General features: G+C 45.5%; 2 annotated features.

Moving 5' to 3' along the window:
• Positions 1,037-1,602: an enhancer, noted in NCBI's record as "OCT4-NANOG-H3K4me1 hESC enhancer chr1:39253877-39254442 (GRCh37/hg19 assembly coordinates)". NCBI's record gives its function as "activates a minimal SCP1, AML or CMV promoter by ChIP-STARR-seq in naive and primed H9 embryonic stem cells {active_cell/tissue: H9 hESC(naive and primed)}" and the evidence as "EXISTENCE:reporter gene assay evidence [ECO:0000049][PMID:30033119]".
• Positions 5,350-6,722: an enhancer, noted in NCBI's record as "VISTA enhancer hs1139". NCBI's record gives its function as "enhancer in: hindbrain (rhombencephalon)[5/5]" and the evidence as "EXISTENCE:transgenic organism evidence [ECO:0001131][PMID:17130149]".

The following is a 12,029-nucleotide window of genomic DNA, read 5'->3' as shown; positions in this document are numbered from 1 at the left end:
TAGAGAAAAGGAAGCTCTTTTCTCTAGAGCATTTATTATAAGGGGCCAATGGTACCCGGGGAAAAAAACACTGACTTCCAAATTCTGCTCTGGAAACCAAACCTAATTTAGGGAAGTACGATATGCTGAAGAAAGATTGCCTCTTAATTTTAGATTCATGCGGAATGCAGGCAGGAAGGCAGAATTCCTTAACATAACACAGTGTTTTTGGTGGTGTAACAGAATAATAAATCCTTAAGGAATTCCCCAAGCAAGGTAAAGTAGGATAATATACATTTCTTAATATTGCAGAAGTTTTCTTAATCTTATTGTTTAAACTTTTCAATAAACTGTAATGTTTATTAGTAGTTTTTCATTTCCAACTGTCAGATAATTCCTTTTGCTAAGTTGGGATAAACAGGGTCCCCTCAGTGCCTCTGGTTTCAGTTTTGTGTGATATATATCTGACCAGACACTTGATGTAATAGAGAAGTATTGTGTTTTCCACTGTGTTGAACTTAGAGGTTCAAACGTGTTAATGCAATTGAATTGATTGTAATATTTTATAAAAGTTTCTCCAACGGAAATATTGTTAGCGACTCGAGTTGTCAGGGTTATGAGAGGACACATAGAGGCTTGCTGGCAGCTTCTGGCCACATATGTTCCTCCAGGGGCAGGCAAGGGGGCGTGGTGTGGAGGAGTTCATTTCTCCACTTGCTAGGAGAAATCAGAAGGAAGCACAGCTAGGTTTTCCCCAGAAAGGTCTGCAGAAGAGACAAAATGCATTTGTGTTTTGTAAAGGGTATGCATTCATCCTCCGTGAGTGTGTGACCCAGCTGGTTCCACACAGGACCTCCTTTGCCAAGCACCCCAAATTTTGAGTTGATAGGGAAGTAGGGAAAGCCACACAAAGCTGGGGATCGAATGGAATTCCAAGCTCCTTTTGCAGGAAAGAGATGGGAGATGGTAACGTTAATCACCACTGAGAGAGAACTTTTTCTTTATCAAATGCCCTAGAACTACTGTTATTCTGTGCAGTATTCCCGCAGGGGAAAATCCCATCTTAAATGATCAGCACAAGTGATAAAGAAATTCATTTTTATCTTCTCCCAGACTCTCTTTTTAATTGATTTTTTCCCTCTTGGAAATGGCAAATAATTTAACATTGTTACAAAATTCCTTCCTCTCAATAGCAGAGGGGGGAAATTAACAATCACAATAAGGAAAAGGGTAAAATCCCACTCGGCTAATGAGGTATGTAACTGAGCCATTAGTTCTGCTTGAAGCCCCTGTCAGCCCCAGATTAAGTTGATGGCCGTTCCCGGTGTTTTCAGCTTTCTTCAGGAGCATACTCTGCATACACTTTTACCACCTGCAGCGTGGCTTCATTGCTGGTCTTTCAGAATTAAAAGAAAAAAATCGGCCCAGGATGTTTTCTGCTCTCTACGAGGTGCCAGGCTGATGGAGAGGATGCTCAGGGCACAAGCCTGGTGGTTTTCTGATGCTGGATCCCAGCTTCCTGGCATTCTAATATTTAGCGAGAAGAGTCGTCTGAATATAATTTTCAGAAAAGACTGGATTGAATGGAGCAATCAGTAGACAAGGGTTCTGAACTCACCTTTTGTAATTTCTTCTTTCTTCTTTAAATGATGCTGTAAGCTGGTCAGGACCCATGGGGGTTGGAGGCACAGAAGCAAGCCTGTCTTCCATAGGGTTGTCCTTGAACGAAGTTTCTTTTTTGCCTTAGGATTTAGAACTGCTCTTAGGCCTGAGAATGGAATCTGTGCTCTCCCATACGGTAGCCACTAGCCACACATATCTATTTAAATTTAAGGAATTAAATAAAACTATAATTAAAAAAATTTTTTTTGGAGACAGAGTCTTGCTCTGTGCAAGTCTCACTCTTTTTTTTGAGACAGGGTCTCGCTCTGTCAACCAGGCTGGAGTGCAGTGGTGTGATCTCGGCTCACTGCAACCTCCGCCTCCTGGGTTCAACCGATTCTCGTGCCTCAGCCTCCCGAGTAGCTGGGATTACAGGCATGCGCCACCACACCTGGCTAATTTTTGCATTTTTAGTAGAGACGGGGTTTCGCGATGTTGTCCAGGCTGGTCTCCAACTCCTGGCCTTAAGTGATCCATCCGCCCTGGCCTTCCAAGGTGCTAGGGTTACAGGTGTGCGCCACCGCGCCCAGCTGGAATTACACTCTTGATTATCACATTTATCATGTTTTTTATTTTCTGTATTTTATGCTGCTTTGCCATCTTGGGGGCGTTGTGAATCCTAGAGAAGACTGCCCCTTCCAGGGCTAGCTAATTCCTAGTGGTAGCAAAAACTTGCCTGAGAGTACATCTTTCATATGCAAACCAAGCAATCCAAATCTTATGTCCCCAACCACCTCCTCTATCTAACTATCACACATGAAGCCAGTATTTCCCTTGCTGGAAATCCCCCCAAGGCCAGGGACTAGACAATTAAGAGACCACCCCTGTAGTCCAAAGCCCACCCAAATTATTCAAACTATCCAGTCCCAAATTTGCTCCACCTGGCCTGCCTTCCCTTGCCCGTTCCTTCTTGTGGAAACCACAGTGAAGGCCCTGGGACTGCTCTACTCTGGCTTCCCCTGCCTCCTGACTCAGGCTGGTGCCTCACTGGGTGGCCGTGTGTGGTGTGGTGAGCCCTCTTCCTCAGGAGCTATAAGTAATAAATCCTTCTTTCAAGGCAGCTGTCTCTACGTTTGTTATCTTGCCATATCTGGTTATAACAAAATTTTGGATACATTATAAAACAATTATTATTATTATTATTATTATTATTATTTGAGATGGAGTCTCGCTCTGTCACCCAGGCTGGAGTGCAGTGGCACGATCTCGGCTCACTGCAACCTCGGCCTCCTGGGTTCACGCCATTCTCCTGCCTCAGGCTCCCGAGTAGCTGGGACTACAGGCGCCCGCCGTCATGCCCTGCTAATTTTTTGTATTTTTTAGTAGAGGCAGGGTTTCACCTGACCTCGTGATCTGCCCGCCTTGGCCTCCCAAAGTGCTGGGATTACAGGCATGAGTCACCGTGCCCGGCCATAAAACAATTATTTAATGACAATTGTGGGAGGTGCTACAAGAGAGAAATACAGGATGCTAGGAGAGTGCATAGCTGGGGATATGACCTAAACTCGGGGGGGACTATAGTCAGGAAAGGATTCCCTAAAGAAGTGGTAATGAGTTTGAGACCTCAGGAATACGGGGAAGGGGACAGAGGATATTCCCAGCAAAGGGAATGAAATATGCTCATGTCTCCAGGTAGGAAGGAGAATAGTATATTCCAGGAACTGGAAACCATCTGTCATCCTAAGGAATTGGCAGGGTAAATGCCAGGCAAAAGCATTGGCTGTGATTGCACCCACTGAGTGTGGAGGTCGAGCGTGATGTTAATGTAGCACCCTCCAGAATTCCTTCAACTCAGGGCTTCAGAGGGTCTGTTCTACATGTGACCTTCAAGAGAGGCCCCAGGTTTCTCACCCTCTCCTGGAGCTGGAGCCACAAGCCTTTCCTGGAAATGATGTCAGTTTGGCTTCCAGTTTCCAGGGGAGTGTCTGGGTAGGGTGTGGCAGATTGTAATTTCCGAAGATGGCCGCACTGTTATAAATCCGACTCATGCTCTTCTTGCTATGTGAGGTTGACCCTCTCCTTGAACCTGGGCACACCTCTCTAATGGCTTCAGCCGAGAGAATATGGAGGAAGTGAGGCTGCATGACTTTGGAAGTTAGGACATAAAATATGAGAGGTGGCATGTCTTTCCCCACTCCTCGCCTCCCTTCCCTTTCCTCTCCATTCCCATTGGGATCCCTGGGCTGCTGTGTGAGAAGTCTGACCACCTGGAAGCTGACATGCTGGAGAGATCATGTGAAGAGCTTGTGTAGAGCAAGAGGGAGATGGCTGAGGAGCCCCAGCTGGTTCCAGCTTCTAGCAGAGGCCCCAGAGATCATGGAACAGAGATAAGCCACCCCTGCTGTGTGCCCTGTCCCAGTTCCCATGAGCATAATAAGTGAATGTTTTATGCCACTAAGTTTTGAGATAATTTGTTACACAGACGTCATCACTGAAACAGTGAGTCTGGTGGGATCCTTGGAGCTTGGGGAAAGTAACAGCTTTTCATCTTGGGTGGCCCAGAGCATCCCTGGCATGTGCTGGAAGCAGAGGGGTGCTTTTTCAAATGCAGTCAGACCTTGCAATCTTAGAATTTGGATTTGGTTTAGTTTCTAATCAGGCTTGGGCTAGAACTCCCCAGAGCACTTTCCATCAAGAAGGGATTTTTGAAAGCAAATAGGAATGGCAACTTGAGTGAGGGGGGAGGGCTTTAGTTACCTAAGAGGAGGACTGATGTTGAAGAGACCCAGCCAAGTGTGCGTCACTATTTACACATAAACGATTGATATGCTTACCACAAATCCTTGTCTATTCACCAAAGCAGGCCCCTAAGGACCTAGTTATGGAAACTACAACTAGGTTTGTTAGACTTAGAGCTTGGCTAATGTCAATCTTGTCACTTGTACTTTAAAAAGTAGTAATTGATGAGTATTCTCCAGTGGCTCTTAAAATCCAATTTTTACTTTTTGAGATGAGACCAGCCAGCCCTTGTGCTGGTCTCATGTGGACAGTCATTTCTACTTCTTTTTTTGTTTGTTTGTTTTTTTAAGAGATGGGGACTCACCCTGTCACCCAGGCTGGAATGCAGTGGCACAATCATAGCTTACTGCAGGCTTGAGCTCCTGGGCTCAAGCACTCCTCCTGCCTCAGCCTCCCGAGTAGCTGAGACTACAGGTGTGCACCACCATACCCAGCTAATTTTTTAATTTTTCGTAGACATGGGGCTTCACTATGTTGCTCAGGCTGGTCTTGAACTCCTGAGCTCAAGTGATTCTGTCGCTTCTGCCTCCCATAGTGGTTGGATTATAGGTGTGAGTCACCATGCCTGACCAATTTCTATTATTTATTGAGAGCTTCAAATGTGCCAGGCAAGTGCTGTGCTAGATGTTTGTACCTGGAACATTCTCATGTAACCTTTGAGGGAGATTCTGTAATTATCCTTGTTTTGCAGATGAGATCATGGGTCAGAGGCGTAAAGTGACTTGTTCAAAGTCACCCAGCAGTGTGACTCCAGTGCCTGAGTGGGAGTGGGTCATCATGATGATTCAGCCTCTCCAAGGGAACCAATCTTTCCAAACCGTCTGGTGGAGAACAGATGGCACAGCACCCAGGAGTCCCCGAGCTGCCCAGCCTCAAAGATGCTCCATGTATGTACATGGGTGGGAGGCCTTGAGGTGCCAGAGCAGTGGGGTGTGTGACCTTGGATAAGTCATGTCTATCTCTTTGGGTGGTTGGGTTTGAAGCTCTGTAAACCCTCTTCCCAGTCTTGTCACAGAGAGGCTCTCAGAGTCTGTGGTAGCAAATATCCCTTTAGGTTGCGGCTCCTGTTTGCAAAGCATGTTACAGATGCCTTAATTAATTATTCAGGCTGACATCTCCACCTCCAAAATCAGAGGGTTGAGAAAAGATCATAGGAATACAATGAATGTGAACTTGGCTGATAATGGCTGGTCCCAGGGTGGTGAGAAGAGAAGAAAACCCTCCAAATTGGTCTTCCCTTACACTTTGGCCCCGCTTCCGCCAACGGCCAAGATAAAACTGTCCTCCTTCAATAATTAATGAGCAGGATCCTGCGCTCCTGGCCTGGATCCCCCGAAGGAGACCCCTTGCGGTGGCTGCGCTTCCGGAAGCTTGCGCGCGTGTGCACACTCACGTGTGCCAGCCCGGTCGGGGGCGCGAACACTGAGTCACGGCGGCTGACCCAGCAAAGTGCTGGGAGTGTGACCGGAATGAAGGGTTGCTCTGTCTGTCTCCGAGGTGGCATGGCAGATCAAATCACAGCGGATCAGGCGCCGAGATGTTGCCTTGCTCTGAGTGACAGAAGTTAATAATTAGTGACAATGATTGACAGATACACTCCATCTGCTGCTCTGACGCCTAGGAGCAGTTATTCCACAACTGTCTGCGGGCACAATGAACTCCCCCGGGAGCGCGGGCTGGCCCGTGATTGACAGCTGCCTCCAAGAGAGACAGGCCACTGACGGGAAAGCCGCTGTCAGCAGAAGCGCTCCGTTCCCCCCCCCAACCCCCCTCCTGTGTTCCCGAGGAGGCTCACTCGCTGTATACATTTATTCTGTTTCATTTATCATGTCAGCCGTGGCTTTAAATAGATTACTAGCTAGCCTGTTTTTTAACTGGAGAGTTTTCTATCGGTAAATTAGAAATATCTACCTATGTCGGACTACTTCCTGGGATGCAAGCCTTCCTCTTGTTTGTTCTCTAGATAGATCCAGGAGAGGACGAGGAGCTTGCTTGGGGTTTCAGGTTTAACTGATCTTTCCATTAAAATCAAAATGGAATCTTTAACCAGAAGCCCTGTAAAAGGGATTGAGTGTTACTTGGTAAACTTGGGCTCAAAAGTCCAGAGTGAACTATGAACTATTTATTCCCTAAGAAAATAACATATCTCTGAGGGTGCCTTTGGATGACATAAGATATTCGTGTTTTTAGACAATAAGAAGGATTCCTGGACAATTCAGAACCCCAGCGTTCTCAGGATGAACTGTTTATTCTCTTGTGGGTTCATAGTCAAAATCTGGTACTAACTAGCTGGAAACTCTTAAGTGTGGGTTACAGTTCTATCTAGACCAAAGTCCTTGCCCCCATTTCTTTCCTGAATATTTTTATTCTAAATTAAGGCTTAGCTTCAAACCAGTAGCAGGAGGACTCTGATACCTTCTAGCTCCATTATAAATAGGAAAACAGAAACATATATATTTCTACTAGAGGAATTGTCGTCACCTAATTGTTCCTACTTATAATTTGTTTGGCTTTCTGGAAAAATGCATTTTAATTTTGCTTCATTTAGGATCCCACAGATATGCTTTCCGGGCCGTCACTTACTCCCCTCTCTCCTTTCGTCCCCTGATGCCTCAGCGTAATTTAGAGGACTGTCCATCTCTGTTATGAATAAAAGCCTACTTAAATCCTGCTATTTAAAATACAATGAACCCTGTTTATATTGATCTCATTCAGAATGTTTTCCCGCATATGATGTCCATCTTTTAAAGTATGGGTCATGTTTCCTCTTAAGATGTTTTCTTATCTTATTCCCCTAAAATGATATAAACAGTTTCAGGATTCTTGATAATTAGGTATGCGGGTAAAGAAAAGACATCCTGTTCTTTTTCAAGTTTTTTAATGATCAGGATACCAGAAAATGAAGTCATAGGGACCACAAATGTTTGTTTCTCATCCAGGGACCTGCTTTCCCTCTTGTTTCTATAGCAAGGAAATTTACAAGGACATACGATGTTAGTGGCAACTTAGCCCACCCCTCCAGGGGTGAGTCAGCCTCAGTGTTACCCCAGAATGTTAAAATTGTCCTGTCTCCCATTGTTAAATGTGCATCTCTGTGTCCTGCAATAAACAAGAGGGCATGAAACACATGTACAAGTGTGTGTGGCTGTTTTCGCTCATATCTTTTCTAGAGAGACTTTGAAGAAGGTGTGTGGATGCAGCTCATTTGTTTGTTTTTTGGACCATCAGGTAGAATGTCACCACCCTCCATTTCCTTACTTAGGACCTGCCCCAGTTAGGGTTACAATGACCAAAATAGCCAGCCAGGCACTGTGCCAGTCCCACTGACACAATGGGAAACAGAGACCCTCAATAGTGTACCATCTATTGAGAAATTGAATCAGTAAACAGGAAGTATACCGTCTCATGACTAATGCTGATTTGGGGGAAGAATGTGGCTGAGGGAGCCTGCAGGAGAGGCACTCAGCTGGTCCAGAAATCTTTCTAAGAGGAAACCTGATGAAAGGGACTGGGGTGCAGGGAACAGCAAGGGTGTTTCAAGCATCAGAAATGGCTGGTCGGAAGGACCTAGCCAAAGTTCAAGTGGCTGCTGTGGAAGGCTGAAGAAGAAGCTGAAGTCACATCACTGAGGCCTTTTCTGCCATGCCAAGGAGCCTGGACTTAAGAATCTGTACTTTAGGAGGATCACTCTGGCTACAGTGTGGAAAATGGTTTGGAGTGGATGTGAGACAGGAGGCAGTGTGTGATTAGAAGGCTGTTACAGGTATGACCTGGGTTCAGGGAGCAAAAGACGTCAAGGAGAGGCACAGGCTTTAGTAATCGCAACCGAGTGAGGTCCTGCTGTCTAACTTGAGTAACTGGATGGATGGGGAGGCTGTGCTTTAAGATGAGGAACTTATGAGGAGGAGCATGTTGGGGTGGGAGGAAGATGAAAATTTCAGACATGTTGAGTGTGAAGTGCCTGCAGTCCAGGCCAGCTTCATGGGTGTGTGACCCGGGTGGTCGCCCTGTGCTCAGGAGGGCTCTGAGTGTGTTTGTATGCTCTTCTATCACCATCTTGAAATTCTTAATACATTTTTTTTTATCAGGGGCCTTGTGTTCTCATTTTCTTCTGGGTTTGTGTGCAGTTCAGCCAAGTGGAAAAGTCAGGCAAGCAGCTTGGGATCTGGTTCTGGCAGTCAAGGCTGGAGAAAGAAGCCCGGGATGCTTCAGCATAAGGAGAGGTACTTAAAACCCTGGGAGAGGATGGGCTCACTGCGGGACAGCATGAGGAATGAGAAGAGAAAAGAGTCACGGGTAAGATCCTGAGATCCCCAGCACTTTAGGATCAGCCTCTAAGAGGGTGGGACCTCCAAATGCAAAGACCCAGTTACCTGTTGCCATGTTTTGCCTTTTGAGATGAGGCAGTGAAGGTTAGCCACTGTCTTAGGTCTGAGGAGCGTCTGGATTGGTCTCAGGTTATCAGCTAAATGGCAAATCCAAACAGCACATGAAAAAAAATTATGAGAAAGTATCTATAGCTATTATTAAAGACATTTGCAGCACTCTCCAGATTTCAAAGTATCTTCATCCATTCATTCAACAGATATTTATTGAGGCTGGGCATGGTGGCTCACACCTGTAATCCCAGCACTTTGGGAGGCTGCGGCAGGAGGATTGCTTGAGCCCAGGAGTTCAAGACCAGCTTGGGCAACATAGCGAGACCCAGTCTCTAAAAAAATAACAAAAACAAAAACAAATAAAAACAGATATTTATTGAGTATCTACTATGTGTCAGGCACTGTGTTGGCTGCTAGGGATGTATCAGTGAACAAAAGGGACAAAAACCTCTACTCTCATGAAGCTTCCATTGTAGTGAAGAGAGATAGACAGTGAGCAATAAACATAATACATTCATAAATTTATTATGAATTTATATTAGAAGGTGATAACTGCGTTGGAAAAAATAAAATCTCACTTAACTTTTCTTTGTGAAGAAAAAAAAGCGTTTTGTCTCAGGTGATATGAGACGTCATGTATGAGCCCTGGGGCTCCATCATTGTCCTCAGGTTTGGTTTCATTCTCTGCTTCCTCTGTGCTGATTCTATTATCAGGCAGATCCTACCCTCGTGGGTGGTCAGAGATGCTGAGCAAACACCCAGGTGCATATCTAGTAGAGCAGAGTGAGTGTCTGCTCCCACCTTGCTGGCAAAAGCCCTGAGAGACACTCCAAGTGGACTGGCTTAGGTCCTTTGCCCTCCTCTGAGCTAGTCTTCTCCCCTGTAATCTTTGCAATCACTCAGTGGGGAAGCTGCCATTTCCATTTCCCAGGAGGGGAAGACTGAGGCCAGGAGAGGAAGACTGAGCTTCCCAGGGCTGTACACTTAGAAAGTGGCAGACCTGGGACCTAGGCCCAGGCTGTCTGTCCCTAAGCTTGTGTTGTGTCCACAAGAAGTTCCAAGGCAGAGTATAAATAAATTTAAATACATCATTTCTCCCCAAACCTACTTTAAGGTTTAAAGGTGGCTAATTAAAATAACCATGAAAGACTTAATTAGGGACATGGTTAGGCAACAATTGCTTACAAATTCATGGGAATCCTAAAAGTATAGGGATTTAGACATTTAAAGACTCTCCAGTCTAATCCTTGCCTCTGATAGGCGAGGAAATTGACGTCTAGAGAAGGGAAGGAACTTGAATGGTCACTCAGCAAGTGGAGAAAGGGCAGGGCTGGGAGGGAGGCTAGGATTCTGTTAATCTGGACCAGCGTGAGTGGATCAAACCTCTCCGTGGTGTGTCTGAGCCATTCAGCAGCCACTTAGATTGTCTATGCTGGGCTAACATCTACCAACTGGATAAACACTAGATTGTCTAATGAATATTCACGGCCTCTTAACAGCTTGTTTGCCAATTTAACTCCCCACTAGTTTTCCTTGGTGATAATAATAATAAAATAATAATCATACCACACCCTTATCGAGCAGTTACTGGATGCTAGATACTGTACCAAGAGCTTTACCTGTATCAACATACTTAATTGCAGCAGCAGCCCCAAGAGATAGGAGGTATTTCTAATCCCCATTTTACAAAGGAGACAACTGAGCTTTAGAGGATGAAAAACTCACCCTTGGTCTTGGATAGTGAGCGCTGGAGAGCCCAGATGTAAATCCAAGTCTGTTTGATTCTCTAGCCCAGGATTTTAATCACTGGAAGAGCAATAGTTCTTTTTTCTTTTAAAAAAGAAACTTCAGCCGGTTGCGGTGGCTCACACCTGTAATCCCAGCACTTTGGGAGGCTGAGGTGGGTGGATCATGAGGTCAGGAGATCGAGACCATCTGGCTAACATGGTGAAACCCCGTCTTTACCAAAAATACAAAAAATTAGCCAGGCGTGGTGGTGGGTGCCTGTAGTCCCAGCTACTCGGGAGGCTGAGCCAGGAGAATGGTGTGAACCCGGGAGGCAGAGCTTGCAGTGAGCCGAGATTGTGCCATACGCTCCAGCCTGGGCGACAGAGTGAGACTCCGTCTCAAAAAAAAAAAAAAAAGAAACTTAAAAATTAGGATTGGATACAAAGTACAGCTTGTCACTTTCCCAAACACTACCTACCAGCACATTTCTTTCTTTCTGAGGTTAAGTCAGCCCCTGCTGGGGATAGAAATCATCAGTTAAGTAACAAAGTGCACTTAACACCACTGAGGTTTAGAGCTAAAGGCCTTGATAAGGTGCTTGACTGGTTCAAAGAGATTTTGAAGCAGAATGAAGCAGAACACCATCAAGCCCTGGGACAGAAGCCTTCACCATCCTCTGCATGGTGACATGCCTGTTTGGAAGGATTTATGCATCTCTGTCAAATGTATGGTCTGCGTGGGCTTTCCCCAGGTGTCACTGCCATCAACAATGTCAAGAGAATTATCAAATCAAAATAAGCACAACAGCTACCACTTCTTGAGTGCTCCTGTGCTGAACCCATTAAGAGCTTTGTGTAATTACCTCGTTTAATCCTCAGAAGAGCTGGTGGGAGAACAGAGGTAGGTAGGTCCTGTGAAGTAAGTACAATTAGAATCTCCAATTCACATAAAATAAACTCTAGTCTTGCTTAGAGGGGGTTAAAGGACTTGCAGAGGGTAATAGTTTCTAAGTAGCAGAGCTGGAACTTGAACTCAGGTCTTTGGGGTCTAAAGGCTGCCATTCAGCCACCATGCTATACAACCTGCCACAGAGGCTCAGAGGCACTTCAGAGGTGACTGAGGCGGAGGTTAGAACAGGGCAGGTCCCAAAGCAAGCTGCTGGAAGGTCCAGGACAAGAATCCAAGTGTCCTCACTCCTAGCCTAGCACCCTTTCGAACACACTTAAGAGCTATTGAGCAGCTTATTCTTCAGTGATTCCTAAAACTGTCCCAGAAGAAAAATTGATGAAAGTTTTTTTTTTTTTCCTAAAACACTTCCCCAACTCAATATGCAATTAGCCATTAATACTCGGAGAGTTTGGCTTCAGTCCTGCCCATTGCCCTGCATTTTTCAGTGGCTGTCGATGACCTCATCTCTGTCTTCATCTTTATTGAGGGACAGTAGCGTGCTCAGCCAATGAACCTTCCACCCTTAGCGCATCATGCCATTCCCAACAGCGAGCCTCTCTGAGCTCCAGAGACTAAGCCTGGAGATAGGGTTAT

The sequence above is a fragment of the Homo sapiens genome, chromosome 1, assembly GCF_000001405.40.
Source record: "Homo sapiens chromosome 1, GRCh38.p14 Primary Assembly".
Taxonomy (NCBI): Eukaryota; Metazoa; Chordata; class Mammalia; order Primates; family Hominidae; genus Homo; species Homo sapiens.
The sequence above is the reverse complement of the archived record's forward strand: the minus strand, read 5'-3'. Positions and strand labels throughout refer to the sequence as shown.